The following is a 20,571-nucleotide window of genomic DNA, read 5'->3' as shown; positions in this document are numbered from 1 at the left end:
GACTTGAACAATGAGATCACATGGACACAGGAAGGGGAATACCATAGCTGTTACTTTTACTAAAATTTTATATAGTATATACTGAAGGCATACCCACATGATGTTTTGATAAACATATGCACAATGAAATGATTGCTACAGTCAAACATATTAACGTGTCCGTCTCCTCACATGCATGCTTTTATTTTGTATTAAGAGCACCTGAACTCTGCTCAGCAGATTTTCGGCATACAATAAAATAGTATTAACCATACTCCTTATGCTGAAAATTATGTCTGTAAATTTATTCATCCTACATAACTGTACCTTTCTATCTTTGACCTACATCTTCTGATTCCCTCCCCCACATTGCCCTGCCCCTGGTACAAAGGTGCTGATTTTATTTCCTTTGGGGTATTTACACAGAAGGGGAATTACAGAGTCATCTGGTAGTCTTACTTTTAATTTTTGGAGAAACCTCATACTGTTTTCCATAATGGCCGTATCAATTTATATTCCCACCAACAGTGTTGGTTATCTTTTTTTCACACTCTCATCAACATCTATCTTTTGCCTTTATGATAATAGGCATTTTGACAGATGTGAGGTGATACTTCTTTGTGGTATTGATTTGCATTTTCCTGATGATTAGAGACACTGAACACCTTTTCATATACCTGTCATACTATTGCTGATTCTGAAAAAGGAGCCATTTTATCTCTTATTTAAATCATTATTTTTTCTACTATTGAAAATTTATAACAAATATATGATATATTTGATTTCATAGTCTGTAAGAGATTAGAAAGATTAAATAATATAATTAGATATACATTAGGAGGTGGGGGAGGACCAAAAAAATGTGTGCGAGTTCCCAAAGATAGAAGAAAGAACAAGTAGCTGTCAGTTAATAGCGGCACATAAAACTGGACAAAATTAGTACAAAAATTTTAAAGGCCTACGTATCTAGGTCATCTCAGGCCATTTAGTTTAAAAGGTGTAACACTATTTCAATATTTACTATGGGAATGAAAATAATAAAATAGAGTAAATAATATTTTAAAATGAATTCCTTGGATTATTAAAATAGCTTAAATTATGTTCAGTGCATTACGTTAAAGCATAGCAATATATCTCTAAAATATTTTAGTGAGGGCTTATTTCAGACTTTGTTTATTAAAGAAAATTACTTTATATTATTTAGATGCATTTTTGCATTATAAAATCACACGTTGCCTTTATACTTAAATAACCTGTCTCTTTGCTGCCCTTGCATTTTCTGCCTATTCTGGTCTCATACCCAGCTGCAAGTTCCCCTTCAGTCATATCTCCAGCAGCTGTCTCCTGTGCTCGCTTCTCCAGTTCAAGGCCGTGGTGCTTTATCTGCTCCAGTGCCACTCAAGGGTATCAATGCTAAGTCCTCTCCTGTCTGAGAAGTTACATGAAGTCATCACCAATCTCCTGGGATTCACCATGAGCCAGATACTCACGGCAGGGACTTTCCCTCTCCACCTCCATCACCACTGTTGTCCTAATTCCTCAGAAACACTGCTCCCTTGAGGCCACAATGAGTTAAAGCCACACTGTGCCCATGTTCCTTCATGCTTCTTCTCTCAATATTTTTTCAGAATTTTATACATAATTTACTAAAAACTTATTATGTACTATACATATTATAGACATGAAAGATATGATTGTTACATAGACCTAATTCCTGGCTCAGTGAAGTGGAAGATGAATGCAAGTAAATTAGCCATTAAAATATAACCAAGCACTTATGGATCTACAGCTGAGACTCAGATATTGTTATTTTTAACTTTTCCCTTATTACTCCATCTGCCTCCTCTCCAGTGTCAGGTTACTAAAATCCAATGACATGAAGGGCAGTTTACTTTGGACACTCAGAGATGAGGCTGCACAATGGGAGGGTGCACAAGTGTAAGAATCTGGGAGAAATTGCTGGGTTGAAATCAACATACATTTTCCATTTTATTAAAACGATGCCAAATAATTGTCCCAAATTGGTTATACCAATTTATATTCTAACCCGCAATGTGTGGCCATTCACCTTGTTTTTCTACTTCATCAAATTTTTCATTTTCTTTTTTAACATTTGACAACCTGTGAAGGAAACATGCTTTTTAAAATTTTCACTCTACAGTTAGATATATCTATGTATGTACTTTAGATATATCTGTGTATATACTTTCACATATGACAAAGTCATATATGACTTTGTATATACATATATATGCATATCTATCTATAAAGATTTTATATAGGATAGTTCATAATCATATAATTTACCAAATCATTATAAGGCAAATACCCATATAATTTATACTTGCATCAAGTACAGAATATTCATAGCACCTCAAAGTCTCATTCATGTTCCTTTGCAATAAAAATCTCTCTCTTGAGCACCATGTCATACTCTCTCGAGAAGTAATGTTAACACTGGATCATTCTTTTTCCCATGTGATTCTTCTTCACTCCAATCATTTAATTCATCTGTTCATTTTAAGTCAAGCATTTTACACCTAAGAATGGTTCTTTGCATTTCCCACAAGTTCTTGAATAAGGAGTTAATTTAGATTCTGATTGTTTTTGTTTTTGTTTTTTCTGTTTTTGTTTCATTTGCGCATTGTTTATTGAGCTGTTCCTCAACTTTAAGCTTTCTTTCACTCAAATACTTACCTAGAGTGCTGACAAAACAATTCTACTTTCTAAACACAGTCAAGGTGAACATTATTTATTCCAATGCAATTCTGGTAGTATTTAAACACCTCCACATCCATGAATCCTATAAGGATGCTACGCACTTAGAAGGGTCTTTTCATTTTCACAGCAGTATTTGGCATACACAGACAGGTCAGGTATTATATGAAGATAATAAAAATAAAGGAGCTTACCACAAGGAAAAAAAACCTATTATTAATTGTTTGAGAGAGGCTCTCCTTGTAGTGAAAGAAATATGCTGCTTCCTGCAGGATTTCATAGCATCATATTGCTAGGAGGGAACTAAGAAATCATCTAATCCTATCCCTCAAGGTTTAGGGAGGTGAACTGATGTACTGTTGACCCTTGCATTTATATATGACTTTTCTTTGTCAGGATAAAAAACAACCAAAAACAACAAGAAAAACAATCAAAGGGTAGAAATTATAGACCTATAATGAGATGATGTTAATATGCTTTTATTTTTTAATTAAAAAACACAGGCAAATAAAAAATGCAGCAAACTCAAAATGCAGATTTTATAATAAACACCCATACAACCAAAACCTAATATTGACAGTATTCATTTATTGTATTTGCTTTAATTTTTGTATATAAATACTGTAAAGTTAGAATTTCTCTTATTCTCTACAGCCAGTTGCCTTGTCTTTCTCTGAAGTCACCACTGGCATATATTAAGTTAATAGCCTTCTAGTTCTTTTAAAAGTACTGCTGCCTACATTTTAATTTTCCCATTATTTTTGATATGTTTTTTATATTAGTGAATGTAGTCATTTTTATATACTTTCTAGAAATCACGTTTCTCTCAATATTCTTTTTTGAAATCTACGGTTATATATTGATGTAATTTATTTCTTACAAGTAACATATAGTATTTAATTGTAGGAACAGATTTAATTTTATTTGCTCATATTCTTCTATTAGACATTTCAATTGCTTTGAAATTTTACATGTTGTAAACAATGTCGTGATAAAAAAATGCTTGTATGTGTCTCTTTGGGATGATTTTCAAGAGATTCTTGGCAAGGGGTCTTACTTTGTCATAAGCATGTACACTTAATTTTTTGATTTTTTTAACTTTATTTTAAGCTCAGGGATATAAGTGCCCATTTGTTACATAGGTAGACTTGTGTCGTGCGGATTTGTTGTACAGATTATTTCATCATCCAGGTATTAACCTAGTAGCCATTAGTTGTTTCTCCTGTTCCTCTCTCTCCTTTCATCTCCATCCAAAAGTCCCCATTGTGTGTTGTTCCTCTCCATGTGTCCATGAGCTCTCATCATTTAGTTCCCACTTTATAAGTGTGAATGTGTGATATTTGGTTTTCTGTTCCTGTGTTACTTTGCTAAGGATAATGGCCTCCAGCTGCATCCATGTCCTTGCAAAGGACATGATCTCATTCCTTTTTATGATTGCATAATATTCCATAGTGTATATGTACTATATTTTCTCTATCTAGTCTATTACTAACGGACATTTAGGTTGATCCATGTCTTTGCTATTGTGAATAGTGCTGCAATGAACATATACGTGCATGTGTCTTTATAATAGAATGATTTATACTCCTTTGGATATATATATACAGTAATGGGATTGCTGGATCGAATGGTATTTCTGTCTTTAGTTCTTTGGGAAATCACTACACTGTCTTCCACCATAGCTGAGCTAATTAACACTCCCACCAACAGTGTATGAGCATTCCTTTTTCTCTACAACCTTGCCAACATCTGTTATTTTTTGACTTTTTAATAATAGTCATTCTCACTGGTGTTAGATGGTATCTCACAGTGTTTGTTTGTTTGTTTTTGAGACAGAGTCTCTCTCTGTCGCCCAGGCTGGAGTGCAGTGGAACTATCTGCTCACGGCAACTTCTGCCACGTGGATTCAAGTGATTATCGTGCCTCAGCCTCCTGAGTAGCTGGAATTACAGGTGCACACCACCATGCCTGGCTAATTTTTGTATTTTTAGTAGAAATGAGATTTTGCCATGTTAGCGAAGCTGGTCTTGAACTCCCAACCTTAATTGATTTGCCCTCTTTGATTTCCCAAAGTGTTGTGATTACAGATGTGAGCCACTGCGTCCAACCTCATTGTGGTTTTAATTTGCATTTCACTAATGATCAGTGATGTTGAGTTTTTTTTTTTTTTTCATTTGATTGCTGGCCACATGTATGTCTTCTTTTGAAAAGTGTCTGTTCATATCATTTGCCCACTTTTTAATGTTTTTTTTTTGTTTTCGTAAATTTAAGTTCCTTATAGATGCTGATTATTAGACTTTAGTCAGATGCATAGTTTGCAAAAATTTTCTCCCAGTCTGTAAATTGTTTGCTTACTCTGTTCATATTTTATTTTGCTGTGCAGAAGCTCTTTAGTTTAAATAGATCCCGTTTGTTAATTTTTGCTTTTGTTACAATTGCTTTTGGCGTCTTAGTCATAAAACTTTTGCCCGTGCCTATGTCCTTAATGGTATTGCCTAGGTTGTCTTCCAGGATTTGTATACTTCTGGGTTTTACACTTAAGTCTTTAACCCATCTTGAGTTGATGCTGTATATGGTGTAAGGAAGGGTCACAGTTTCAATCTTCTGCATATGGCTAGACAGTTATCCCAGCGCCACTTATTAAATAGGGAATCCTTTCCCCATTGCTTGTTTTTGTCAGGTGTGTTGAAGATCAGATAGTTGTAGGTGTGTGGCCTTATTTCTGAGTTCTGTATTCTGTTCCGTTGGTCTATATGTCTGTTCTTGTACCAGTACCATACTGTTTTGGTTACTGTAGCCCTGTAGCATGGTCTGGAGTTGGGTAATGTGATGCTTTGGGCTCTTTTTTGGGCTCTTTTTTGGTTCCATAAGAATGCTAAAATAGGTTTTTCCAGTTCTGTAAAGAATGTAAATGATAGTTTAGTGGGAATAGCATTGAATCTATAAATTGCTTTGGGCAGTATGGCCATTTTCACGATACTGATTCTTCCTATCCATTAACATAGAATGATTTTCCATATGTTTGTGTCATCTCTGATTTCTTTGAGCAGTGGTTTGTAGCTCTTCTTGTAGAGATCTTTCAACTCCCTAGTTAACTGTACTTCTTGGTATTTTATGCTTTTTATGGAAATTGTGAATGGAAATTCATTTTAGCTCTTCGCTTGACTGCTGTTCGTGTATAGGATGCTAGTGATTTTTGCATATTGATTTTTATATCCTGAGCCTTTGCTAAAGTTGCTTATCAGCTTAAGAAGGTTTTGGGCTAAGATGATGGGGTTTTCTAGATATAGGATCATGTCACCTGCAAACATGGATAGTTTGACTCCCTCTCTTCCTTTTTGAGTGCGCTTTATTTCTTTCTCTTGCCTGATTGCTCTGGCTGGAACGTCCAGTACTATGTTGAATAGGAGTAGTAAGAAAGGCATCCTTGTCTTGTGCCGGTTTTCAAGGGGAATGTCTCTAGCTTTTGCCCATTCAGTATGATGTTGCCTGTGGGTTTGTCATAGATAGCTCTTAACATTTTGAGGTATGTTCCTTCAATATCTAGTATATTGAGAGTTTTTAACATGAAGGAATGTTGAATTTTATTGAAAGCCTTTTCTACATCTATTGAGATAATCGTGTGGTTTTTGTCTTTATTTCTGTTTATGTGATGAATCACATTTCCTGATGTGCATATGTGAACCAACCTTGCATCCTGGAGATGAAGCCAACTTGATCGTAGTGGATAAGCTTTTTGATGTACTGCTGGATTCGGTTTGCCAGTTTTTTGTTGACAATTTTGTATCGATGTTCATCAAGGCTATTGGCCTGAAGTTTTGTTGTTGTTGTTGTTTTATTTCTGCCAGGTTTTGGTATCAGGATGATGCTGGTCTCATTGAATGAGTTAGAGAGGAGTCCCTCCTTTTCAATATTTTTGCAATAGTTTCAGTAGTAATGGTACCAGCTCTTCTTTGTACATCTGGTAGAATTCAAGTGTGAAAGCTGTCTGGTACTGGGCTTTTTTTTTTGTAGGTAGGCTATGTATTACTGCCTCAATTTCAGAACTCATTATTGGTCTGCTCAAGGATTCAATTTCTTCCTGTTTCAGTCTTGGGAGGGTGTATGTGTCCAGCAATTTATCAATTTTTTTGCTAGATTTTCTAGTTTATGTGCATAGAGGTGTTTATAATATTCTCTGATGGTTGTTTGCATTTCTGTGGGATCAGTGGTAGTGTCCCTGTTATCCTTTCTGATTGTGTTTATTTGAATTTTCTCTCTTTTATTTATTAGACTAGCTAGCCATCTATTTTATTTTATTTTATTTTTTCAAAAAACTAACTCCCGGATTTGTTGACCTTTTGAATGGTTTCTTGTGTCTCTGTTTCCTTCAGTTCAGCTCTGATTTTGGTTATTTCTTGTCTTGTGCTACCTTTGGGATTTGTTTGCTGTTGGTTCTCTAGTTCTTTTAGTTGTGATGTTAGGTTGTTAACTTGAGATATTTCCAACTTTTTGATGTGGGCATTTAGTGCTATAATTTCCCCTCTTAAAACCGCCTTAGCTGTGTCCCAGAGATTCTCATACATTGTACATTTTTTCCGATTAGTTTCAAAGAACTTCTTGATTTCTGCCTTGATTTTATTATTTACCCCAAAATCATTCAGGAGCAAGTTATTCAATCTCCATGTAATTGTAGACCATGTACACTTTACATTTTACTTAATATTGACAAAATTAATGTACCAAATGTTTATACCTTGTTTTACACTTCGCATACATCTGCTATTGCCATGATTTTAAAATTTTGCCAGAATCATGGGTGAGAAAATTATTTTATAGCTTTCTTGTTTTTTCCTTAAGTTTTAGTAAGGCTGAATATCTTTTCACCTGTTTCTTGACCATTTAGCTCAGTGACATATTGACCATATAACTAGTTTTATTTGGTTATATGTGTTATTAAAGATTTACAGGATTTTGAAATATTCCTGATAAGAATTCTTCTTTTATGTGTATTGTATATGTATCTCCCATTCTCTAGACTTATTTTGATTTTTATTTTGCCTTTGATTAAGAAAACATTTCAAATTGTGGTGAAGTCCATTTTATTAATCTTTTTTCTTTAATAATTTGGCTGTTTGGCTTTATATTAGATACTAGCGAGGGCAATTTTCTACATCACCCTCCTTCTTCCTCCTCTACCTCCCTCCCTTCCTCTCCTGCTTCCCTTCCTTTTTTCCTCTATTTTTTGAAGAATTATGTAGTCTTTTGTTAGAAATTAATGTTTCATAAGTATTTTATAATTATTTTGTCACATTATAATGTTTGTGCATATAAAATGGTTAAATATTGGCAATATCAGATGGTTCAACTTATATTATCAAATGTACATACTAAGATTTGTGAAAAATTGACTTCTTTATGCTGTTTGTCTTCTCAAAGAAGATATGAGTTATATTTTCATTTATTATATTATGTGAGTCTATAACACTGTTTATTATATTTATATAATCAACTTTGCCAACATTTAGATATTTTTGTGGGAAATTTACAGTCCTTGCTGCTATTTGGAAAAGAACATTGATTGTTGTATAGGAATGCTCTATATTTTTAGTTTATCTTGTATCCAAAATCTCTGACTTACTAGAATGTGTAAATTCTCTAATAATATAAAATTATTAGTTCTAAAATTGTTTTGGTTATATCTGGAAAAAATATCATACAAAAACAAGGGGAACTTTGTTTCCTTCTTTTTATAATATATATTACCAGGCTAAGAAAGATTCCTTCTTTTTCCAATTTGCTAGAAATTTTTAAATATGGGTGCATTAAATTAATCAAATCTGCAATTATGTTGTGGTTATAGAATCCTCTAAATTGTGAAAAAATCAATGTTTTTAATTAACATCCAACCATCGTTATATTCTCGGATAAGTTCTACCTGCCCAACATACATTATGCATTAATACCTCTCTCTCTGTGTCTCTTTCTCTCTCTCTCTCCCTCCTTTCTCCCTCTTTCCCAATCTTATGCTGCATTGATTTATAATGTTTTATTGTATTTAAGATTTTTTCGTCACTGTCGGTAAGTAAAAAAACCTATAACTTGTTCCTATATTATCTTTGTTCAATTATAATATGGTATACCAGAATAATAAAATGAGTCGAATCGTTTTCCTATTTATTATTTTCTCTGAGACATTGTGTGTAAGATATGAATTATTGATCATCACTTGCTTAGGGAACAAAAACTTATAAGGCATTGTCCCTCTTTTGTAAAATACTTGACTACCACTATAATTTACTTTATTATTATAATATTTAAGTTTACTTTTTACCTTGCATCAATTTTGAATGATTTATGTTTCCTTCCTTGAATGATTATTCATTTGTTCAAAATATTCAAGTATTATTATTGAGTTAGACTTCTTAAATATTTAAAATGCTTTGCAAACTTTGTAACTATGTCTTCTTCTGGCTTCTAATATTTTTTAAAATTGTACTTTTGTTTCTAATAGAATATTTTCAGTGAATCAACTTCTGATGTTGCTCTTATGTTTGATCACCTGGACTGTATTGTTTTCTAACCTCTGATTTTTGCTTTTATTGATTTCTTTTCTTTTGGTTCATCATGGGTAATTTTTTTGTTGTTTTCTAGTTTTTTAGTTGAATGCATAGTTCATTTAGTTCATTTATTGATTTTTTATAAATGTGCTTAATGCTTTCAATATCCTGCATTATCTATATTTACAAATTTTGATAATTTTTGCTTTTATTATATTTCAAATAAAAATAATTTAGAATTCCATTTTTAATTTTTTAGAATTGTAAACAAGCTTTTTCTTTTTCTTTTAAGATTCTAAACATATGCTACTATGTAGAATTAACTGTTAATTTTATTTTGTCATGGTCAAAGAACATGCACTTTATTATGAAATGTTTTGTGAACTGGTCAGTTTTTAAAAATTACCTATGTTTGTTTAACGAAAAAATTAGTTAACAAAAATAGATACAAGTTTTCATATGTGTCTATCATACAAAGCTTTTATTTAATGTTGTTTACACCTTCTGTGTTCTTGATCATTTTTAATTAATTTCATTTCTCAGCATCTAAGTAGGTATATTTTGGCTATTTCAGTTTTGTATTTCTACCATATCTACTTTAAATATTTTAAGGCTCTGTTGTAAGTTACATGCAATCATAATATTGCTTTACATTCTTATGAGGATAAAGGAGTATTTCCTTTATCCTCATTTTACAAAGACATTTTACTGTATATAATATGTAGGAAATTATAATTTTCTCTTTGTAACACTCATTTTTGTACACTGTTCTAGTTCATTAAATTTGACTGGTATTCTTTATACAATCCGTTGTCAATTTTGTGACTTGGAATATATGTTCACCATTTATAACTTATCTTTTCATTTTTAAGTCATGTTTTGATAAAAATATTTTTAATTTTTATATCAGCAGATTGTTTCCAATAATTTAGAATTAGATCTTTTTGTTTTTATTTTAAAAGACTTTCCACTTCCAAAATTGAAACATAATTGCCTACATTTTTGATTGAGTTTTTAAATATTATTCTCAAAATGTCAGTTGTTGTAAAGAAAGGATTCCATTATAACTTTTCCCATATGGAGCCCCACAAAAAGCCCCGTTCCAAAATAATATGATGATTTGACCTGTCTAGCAGTTCTCTAGATCCCCCACCCAGGGGCTTGACTTCCTTTGACCTGACTCAGTGCTCAGGCATCGCCAACACTCTTTTCCCTAGACATCTGTCAAAGCCAAAAGGTAAAATTATTTAACATTAAAGATCCCTGAGGTGGTGATAACAGTTGAGACTAACAAAAATCTGACAAAAAAAAAAAAAAAAAAAAAAACTTAAAAAGGAAGGTTAGAGAATTAGATATCCATACAGGGCTTTGAAAAGCACCAACATTTTCCTGGGACTCTAGAAGGAAAGTCCTGAGAAGGCTCTAATCTCTCATCCCTGGTTAACTTGAGGTTCTGCACAAGTGGAAATAAAGGCTAAAAGGCAGACTTGTATACTGTCTTCTGGTGCATTGCAGGCATGCTCCAATGCATAGAACACCTTGGCAAAGGCTGGAAGGTGGTTCCAGGCACTTAAGGAAATCTATGTCCAGTCGTCATCTGAACACTAACATACATACTTGAACAGAAACTTAAGTAGCTTCAAATGAAAAGACTGACTTTACAGAATTAGTTGAGGAAAGTCTCAAAACAAAAAAATGTAACCACAATCACCACCAACAACAATGAGCAACAATAATAACCCATAGGAAAGCATAGAATGCGAGAGCACAGAACTTAGATTTTCAGAGTTGCAACATTATATTATTTTAAATGTCCCATTTTTAAACAAAACAACAAAAATATATAAGACATGATAAACAGGAAAGTATAACCCATACACAGAAAAACAAAAACAAAAGTCAAAAGAAACTGGTTCCTGAAAAAGCCCAGGTATTAGACTCATTAGACAAGACAGACATTAAACAGCTATTATAAATATGACCAAAAAAAAAAGAAAACTGTCTAAACAATTATAGTATGGAATGATGCCTCACCAAGTACAGAATATCGATACAAAGATATAAATTATTTTTTACAAACCGTATAGAAATTCTGGATTTAAATTAAAATAATTGAAAATAAAATAGAGGAATTAGAAATAGATTTCAGCTATAAGCAGAAGAAATAATTGAACATGAATATAGGCCAATGGGGATTATCTAGTCTGAGGAAGAGAAAGGAAAAAAAAAAAGTAAAGAAAATGAACAGAGCCTAAGAAACCTGTGGACACCGTCAAGCATACCAATATATCCATAATAAAATATCCAGAAGGAGAAGGAAGAAAGGGGTAGAAAGAATATATGAAGAATTTATGGCTTAAAATCTCTCAAAATTTTTTTTATTATTATACTTTAAGTTTTAGGGTACATGTGCACAATATGCAGGTTAGTTACATATGTATACATGTGCCATGCTGGTGTGCTGCACCCATTAACTCGTCATTTAGCATTAGGTATATCTCCTAATGCTATCCCTCCCCCCTCCCCCAACCCCACAACAGTCCCCAGAGTGTGATGTTCCCCTTCCTGTGTCCATGTGTTTTCATTGTTCAAAATCTCTCAAATTTGATGATAATATTTATCTGCACATACAAAAAGTTCAATGAAATCCATTTAGTATAAATTCAAAGAACTACACACCTACTCACATCACAATCAAACTCAAAAAACAGAGATAATTTTGAAAGCAGTAGAAGAGATCCAACTCATCACATATAAGGGATCCTCAATAAAATTAACAATTTTTTTGTTTTTTTTTTGAGACGGAGTCTTGCTCTGTCACCCAGGCTGGAATGCAGTGGCGCAATCTCAGCTCACTTGCAAGCTCTGCCTCCCGGGTTCACGCCATTCTCCTGCCTCAGCCTCCGGAGCAGTTGGGACTACAGGTGCCCGCGACCACACCCGGCTAATTTTGTGTATTTTTAATAGGTACAGGGTTTCACCATGTTAGCCAGGATGGTCTCGATCTCCTGACCTCGTGATCCGACCGCCTTGCCTCCCAAAGTGCTGGGATTACAGGTGTGAGCCACTGCACCTGGCCACAACAAATATTTTTAATTCAACATTGTACTGAAGGTCCCAGCTAGAATAATATGACAAGAAAAATAAGAAAAAGACACCTAGATTGGAAACTATCCCTTTCAGCAAATGACATTATTTTGTATATGGTAAATCCTAATTAATCCACTAAGAAATCTATTACAACTAATAAACTGGCTCATAAAGTATGCAGGATACAAGAATAATGTATAAAAATCAATTTTATTTCTATGCACTTGCAATAAAGAACATCATCCAAAGGAAGAAAACCAAACATTTAGAAATAAATTTAACAGGAAGTGCAGACTTGTACACTGTAAACTACAAACGTTGAAAAATATTAAAAAATGCTTAAATAAACGTAAAGATATCTTACGTTTATAGATCAGAAAATGTAATATTGTTAAGATGGTAATGCTCCTCAAAATAGAACAATAATGCAGTTCAGTTTTTATAAAAAACCCAGCCTTCCTTTGGCACAAAGGAATCACCTCATCCAAACATTTATATGTATATGCAAGGGACACAGAATAGCAAGAACAATCTTGAAAAAGAATGCAGTTAGAGGACTCATACGGATTTCAAATCTTACTACAAACTTTAATAAATAAAGACAATGTGGCACTGGCACAAAAATATGCATATAGATCAATGGAATGAAATTTCCAGATATAAACTCTTACATTTATGGTCAATTAATTTTTCACAAGGGTGCCAACATGACTCACTGGGGGGGGGGGAAGCCTTTTCAAATAGTGGTACTGGAACAACTGGATTTCCACAGGAAAGGAATGAAGTTTGACTTCTACCTCACTCCATACACAAAAATTAAATCAAAATTGGTCATCAACCTGAATGTAAGAACTAAAATCTATAAAACTCTTACAAAAAAATCCATGATCTTGGATTAGGCAATAGCTTCTTAGATTTGACACTAAAAGAAAAGGGGACTAAATTTAAAAAAGGGATAAATCGGATTTCATCAATATTATGACCTTTTGTGCTTTACAGTATACCATCAAGAAAGTGAAGAGACAAACCACAGATTGGGAGCATATTTTTATTCATACTATAAGTGATAAAGGTCATGTATTTCAAATATTTTTTGCAGCCCTTACAATTCTACAAAATAATGACATCACAAATGAAAATGTGAAAATGATTCAAATAGGGCATTTCTTTAAAGACAAAAAATAAATAAATGGCCAATAAGCATATGAAAATATGCTCAATGTCACTGGTCATTAGAAAAATGCAAACCAAAACCACAATGTGGTATTACTTTACATCCACTCAGATGGCTAAAATTTTAAGACAGGAAGAAAACCACTGTTGATAAATATGCAGAGGCATTGGGATTTTATACACTTCTGGTGGGATTGTAAAATGATACAGCAACATTGAAAAACAGTTTGATGCTTCCTAAAAAGCCAAATATAGAGTTACTATATGATTCAGCAATTCCTCTCCAGTGTATATACCCAAGAGAATTTCAAACATTTGTTCACACGAAAACCTGTAAGTGAATGTTCACAGCAGCATTATACATAATAGCCAAAGAGTGAAAAAAAAAGCTAAATATCCATCAGCTGCTGAAGGGATAAGCAAAACATAGGATATCCACAAAGTCTATTCTTATTAAGCAATGGAAAGGAAGGAGGGCACCGATAGATGTTAAAACATGGATGGACCTTGAAAACATCATGCTCAGCTAAAGAGCCAGTCAAAAAAGTCCACATATTGCATAATTCCATGTATATGAAATGCCCAGAATTGTCAAATTCATAGGAACAGGCACTCAATTAGTGATTGCCAGTGATAGGAGAAGGGGGAAAATGGGGAGTGACAGTTAATGGGTAAAGGGTTTCTATTTGGGGTGATGAAAATTTTTTAAGGAAGACAATGGTAATCATTGCACAAACCTGTAACGACACACTTCACTTCAAGAACTGTGAACTGGGCCTGATGCAGTGGCTCATAGCTGTGATCCCATTTCTTCGAGAAGCTGAGGTAGGCAGACTGCTTGAGCCCAGGAGTTCGAGATCAGCCTGGGCAACATAGTGAGACTCTGTCTCTACCAAAAATAATAATGAAAAAATATAGCTGGGCATGGTGGCACCAGCCTGTAGTTCCAGCTACTTGGGAGGCTGAGATGGGAGGATCACCTGAGCCTGGAAAGTCGAGGCTGCAGCGAGCAGACATCGTGCCACTGCACTCCAGCCTGGGCGATGGAGTGGGAAGGAAGGAAGGAAGGAAGGGAGGGAGGGAGGGGAAAAGAAAAGAAAAGAAAAGAAAAGAAAAGAAAAGAAAAGAAAAGAAAAGAAAAGGAAAAGAAAAGAAAAGAAAGAAAGAAAAAGAAAGAAGAAAGAGAGAGAGAGAAGAAAGAAAGAAGAAAGAAATAAAGAGAAAAGAAAGAAAAAAAGGAAGAAAGAGAGAAAGAAGAAGAAGCGAAGGGAGGAAGGAAGGAAGGGAGGAAGGAAGGAGAGAGAGAGAGAAAGAAAGAAAAAGAACTATGAACTGCATATTTTGGTTGAATTTCATAGTATTTGTTATATATTCATAAAACTGCTATTAAAATTTTTAAAAACAGACAAATTGAATATGGCAAAACTCATAAAATATAGAAAATAGGGATGTTGAATATTGTTTTCATCCTTGACTAAGTTTACCTAATACTTTTTAAAAGCCATATGCAGAAACTAAAACAAATTGATTGATTTTTGGTGTTTTGTATTAGGCTCAATAATTTGTGAATGAATGCAAATAGTAGTAGAACATGGGAGCGCAAATGTTCTTGGGAGGAACATTTTATGACTTAGTGATTTTAGTACCAGTCCAGATGACTTATTCAAAATCTTAGATCTGGGTTCAGTCTCAGTTGGCAAGGACTTCCACAGATCTCCGCTTCTCAGGATCCATTGTTATTGCTACACATAATATTCCATTAAGTCTCCCTCTCTAATAAATCTATTCTGAGTTTTTACAGAAAAAATTTAGTTTGAAGGTGTATATGAGTAATTGAGAACATTTGGGAAGTTATATCACTTATAAATATCTAAAGGGTCCTTACTAGAAGAAACTTTCAGCAAATGATACACTATTCAAATGTATGGATATGAACTACAGATTGATTTGCATAAAATCTGTCATACCACTTTTTGTTGTACTCTGCTAGAAAAATGTTTCTCAAAATAAGCATCAATGTATGAGAGAAACATTTTTCACACAATATCCTTGATATATTTATGAAAATAAAATGTAAGATATTATTATCTTAGGAATTCCTGTGCTCCTATCAATTTTGAAGTCCCCTTCAATTCCATTACCTTTGGAGAGTATAGTGAAGAGTTTTAATTTTTGAACCAAAAATATTTAAAAATGAAGAGAAACTAGAACAAAACAATAGCTAACCTTAAACCAAATAAGGTGTAGAGTAATTTTCCTTATCTCTGTGAAAAAGATGACAAAATTGGTACTGCTAAGAAAATGTCTCCTTCGTAAATGTCACTTTTCTTTGGAAATCTTTAACGATGTTTATCACCTGTTATAATCTATCAAGTTAACAGTTAAATTTTTTAAGGTATTTATTTCAAAAACTACATTTTAAGAGGATCAGAAATAATATCAAAGAAGAGCAGTCAGAAAATGTTCCCTGCATATCACTATTCCCTGTTCTCTTCACTCATCTAAATATCCAGTATGGTCTTCATGATTATATTTTTAGTGTAGACATAAGTATTCTGAACTTTTCATTTACTATTTATTGTAAGCGTGTATTCATGTTGCTAGGAAATTTTCACAAAGGCTAAATGATGCTTATTACTTAAGAAAATTCATATGCCCATATTATACTGAACTATTTATTTTCTGCACTTTAAAAATGTTTTATATTTTTGATTCTGCTGTAATGTGCCTCTTCCTGCATATAGAATTAAATTTTTTTCTTAAGATAAATTTCCTCCAAAAGTTATGATTACTTTTCTTTAAAAAAAAGACGTACACTTTAGTATTTGGATGTGGAGATAGAGAGAGAGAGAGGCACTTAAGTCATAGGAATTAAGAGTTTGGTCAGCATTAGGAGATATACCTAATGTAAAAGACGAGTTAATGGGTGCAGCACACCAGCATGGCACGTGTATACATATATAACAAACCTGCACGTTGTGCACATGTACCCTAGAACTTAAAGTATAATAATAATAATAATAATAATAATAATAATAATAATATTGAGTTTGGTCCACCATCTACGATGGGTCCATGCACAAGATACTTAACCTTCTTTAGTTTTCTCTTTTTTTAATTTGTAAAATGAACCCACATAACGCCTACAATAACTGGTTATTTATGTACATGCATATAAAGTACATAGCTCAGAGTCAGACACATACTAAGCATTCAGTAAATAACATATAAAATGACACAACAATGATAGTGATGATGATGAGGATGATGAGGGTGATGATGATAATGATGAGGAGGAGGAGAAGGGATTTTAACAGTTTTTGATAATCTTTGCAATTTTCCAAACTAGATTCCCTCTTTCAGTCTATGTAGGTAAACAGTATATTCTAGCAGTTTAGGCTTAAAGTAATACAATAAGAAGTATGTGTGTTCATAAGGGAGAATTTTGGTATCAAGAAACATAGCCACTCAGAAAGTAAAAAGATTATGTGAAAAGTCATCATGAATTATTTATTGTATCCACATTTTCCCAAAACTATTCGCTGGTGATTGCTCTTGGTGGTGGGTTTTGCTTGTTTGTAAAAGCAATAGAGGTTGATTTCTATATGTTGATTATCTTTACTAGATAAAATACAATAAATCTTGAACATCGTTGTCAAATGACCTGTTTGTTCTACCTTGGGAACGTAGGAAGAAAGTGCATCTTACCCTAAAACAGCCAGTGGCAGGGTGATATATATTCCTGTGCATGCCTCCGGCATGCTTCACTCATTAGACGGAAATCCTCATCTAGTATTTGTTTTCACTCAGCCTACTGAGCAAAAGATATATGTAACATTCTGGAGTCCATTAAGCAAAAGCTGAAGATAACAATAAGACAAAATGATGGACTAAGGTGTAGCTGCCAGCTTAGTGTGATTAATTCAAAGAAATTTCTTCTAAGGCTATTGTTCAATAATCAATATTTATAAAGTTTTATCACGGGATATTGAGAACATCCTTTTCAATACATCTTTAACAGTATGACATAATATGCATGATACATATTTAAAGGCCTGTAGGTGAATTGAAAGAACACTGGACTAAGAACCAGGAGATTGATAACTTATTCCTATTTTTACATTAAATCATTCTGTGACCTTGAGCAAACAAAGGGTACGTTAGTCTTTTCTTATCCATAGATTGAGTTGGTAAATGAGATGATGCCTACATTTTTTCTTCTGGCTCAAGAAGTCAAGGAATATATTTATCAATAATTTTAGTAGATACTAATATTTGCATTTGCAGATGAGGAAAATGGGGCCAAGAGGATGTAAATGACTTGTTTAGGTCACATGGTGAGTAAATATGACACTGGACATTTCACTCAGTTTTTTCTTACAGAATGAAAGATTATGCTGGCAGTAATGTAGAAGACCAATTAGAAAGGAACGAAGCTGGAAAATAAAATAGACAAGAGTTTATTTTAGGGTCTATTATTTTAGGGTCTAGGTGAGCAGCAATTAGTACTTGAAGTAGGGTTATAGCAGTGGATTTGGAGTGTAAATGACATATACACATTATGTTTATAACAGAGAATGAGGAAACCTTGAATGTTCATTTGATCCACTAAATGTGCAGTGAAGAATAGGGAGAACTCTAAGATGGTTCTAGATTTCTGGCTTGGGGACAGCATAAATGACATTCCCTGTAATGAGAAATGTGGGCTAGAGGTGAAAATAATTGGTTTAGGAAAAAATCTCTGCCCAAAAGGTGTTTAAATGTGTTTATAAGAATAGATTTATATATATATACACACACACACACACACGAATACATATCTGTAGATTCATACACACACACACACACACACACACACAGAGAGAGAGAGAGAGAGAGAGAGAGAGAGTGAGAGAGAAAAGAGATGCTTAGACTATATTTAGGCTATATAGAAACGGGAAATGTCCAAGCCCCACAGATGTGGAAATAATAAGCTAGAGAGCAAATTAAAGTAAAAAGAGAAAATAAAGTACAAGTCTCACTATGATCTTCTGTGAGCACTGAATCATAGAAGAAGGAAGAGAATCTAGGAAGAAAGAACCTGTTATTGAATTAAGAAAATAATGAAGAGAGTTTTACAGAAGTCAAGGAAGAAAAGCATTTCAAAATAAAGGTCCGAAATGTTCCACGGAAATTAAATGAAATGTGTTGTTTGGATTTGATCATGAAATTTTGTGTGATCATGAAAATGTGTTTGGATTAGATCATGAAAACTAAAAAGACTGGTGATTTCAGTGAAATAAATTTTAGTGGTTTGGTAACACATAAGTCAGATTTTAAAAAGTTGAAAAGTCAATGTGAGATCATAAAATTATGGACATTTCTGGAGAAACTGAAAGATCATGAGGTTATCACTGCTGAGACCAACGACCTTACACTGACATCAAAATTATATGTTGACAATAATCATATTATTGTCACTATCTTTCCTTGAGGTGATATTGATTATTGCTAATATTTTTGAAACCTTTCTTTGGCCAGGAAGTTACACAGGGCAGCCTGCAGATCAGGTAAGACTGAATTTACTCTATGAATCCAAAGATTGACCAATGAAGCCTTACCAAATTAGGATTTCACTGTTAAATCCATATATGTGGTAAAATAGACATTTTACCAGCATAACCACGCCAACTGCAGAACAAGTAATATCAAGTTTTGGTGTGAACGTGCAGCTTTATCTGTGTTAGTAAAGACTCCTAGAATTGATTCTTCTTTAGAATAGAGGATGCCTCATTAGCCACTGACACATTATAATTGCCATATACTCTATTTAAATCTAGTTCTTGTTAGGGATGTCTCCGTGCTGTAATAACCCTGTCAGTCAACATACCACACATTCTTATGCACAAGAAGTTCTCTTGAAAACTTCAAGCTGTTATTAAATACTCGTGTTCGGAAATTGCCCTTGCTATCAGGTTTTAATCCTTAATAAGAAAAGGCATTTTGCTTTAATAACTTACTTTCATTTTCTCTTACAGATTTGCCAGTAGGAAAGTAATGTGGTATAACAGTAATGTGGTGTTGGGTTAGAATATTGGCACAGTATCTGGAATCCAGCATCAGTTCTGTTACTAACTAGCGATGTAAACTTAAGAACATTTCCATAAAGTCTCTGGATATTTATATTTCTTTTTGATAAAATAAGCAGCTGCAAGAGAATGTCCCCAGAGAATCATTCTAAAATGATTCAGTGTCTCTAGATGCTTTTGCATCTTACCTTCTCTAAAGATGAGACATAGATCTCCCACTGGTCTTCCCAGAAACATCGTGGGTACCACTCAAGTCTGTTAACATTGGCATAATACTCATTTTAATGTCATTCTCTTGGACTGGATATGTGCAAGAGATAAATGGTAGCTGAGCAACTTCATGAACAGGTTTTATATGTGAAACTGAAGAGAATCAACAGTGCGCAAAAAGTGCAAAACAGAACACGTCAGGGGAATGCTCAAGTATAACTTCAAGTAAGGTGAGCAGCTGTGAGCATGCTGACAAAAGCATCAGCAAACACTCTAGCTTGGTACATTGGGGGAAAACAGCTTTTTAAATAAAATTCTGGCTTACTAGGAATCCTAAGGGTAGAGGCACCTAGTATCTGGCTTTGTAAACAGTAGCAACCTCTGCAAGCCAGAAGATAATCTCTATAAAATATAGTGAGGTAAAATGGCTCGTCATAATCAGTCTCTGGTGCCTCTTCGCAGAACTAGAAATTGTTATCAGAGACATCATCTTTGAACTCTTATGTGTTGAAATGGTGATCGTCATCTAGGCTATCCTACCAGATCTCATTTATTCTATGGCATTAAAGCAAAATATAGTGAATAAGACGCTTTGCATGTACCTAACTTTCCTAGAACACACACTGGTCTAATTTTAACTCGGCTGATAGAAGATTCTGTTGAATCTCTTTTTGTACCATTCCTTGGGCCAAAGCAATTCGTCAGGTAATTCACTTTATAAAGTCATCATTGCTGTCAGTCAGAGCCTCCGCTCCCCATTCCTTTCCCTTTCCACTTCTATTATTTTCATCGAA

The 20,571-nt window shown here is 33.7% G+C and overlaps 1 annotated feature.

Annotated features, from left to right (window-relative positions):
- Positions 1,292 to 1,501: an enhancer, noted in NCBI's record as "active region_16597". NCBI's record gives its function as "activates an Ori minimal core promoter by ATAC-STARR-seq in GM12878 lymphoblastoid cells {active_cell/tissue: GM12878}" and the evidence as "EXISTENCE:reporter gene assay evidence [ECO:0000049][PMID:35858748]".

This window comes from Homo sapiens, chromosome 2 (genome assembly GCF_000001405.40).
Source record: "Homo sapiens chromosome 2, GRCh38.p14 Primary Assembly".
Taxonomy (NCBI): domain Eukaryota; kingdom Metazoa; phylum Chordata; class Mammalia; order Primates; family Hominidae; genus Homo; species Homo sapiens.
The sequence above is the reverse complement of the archived record's forward strand: the minus strand, read 5'-3'. Positions and strand labels throughout refer to the sequence as shown.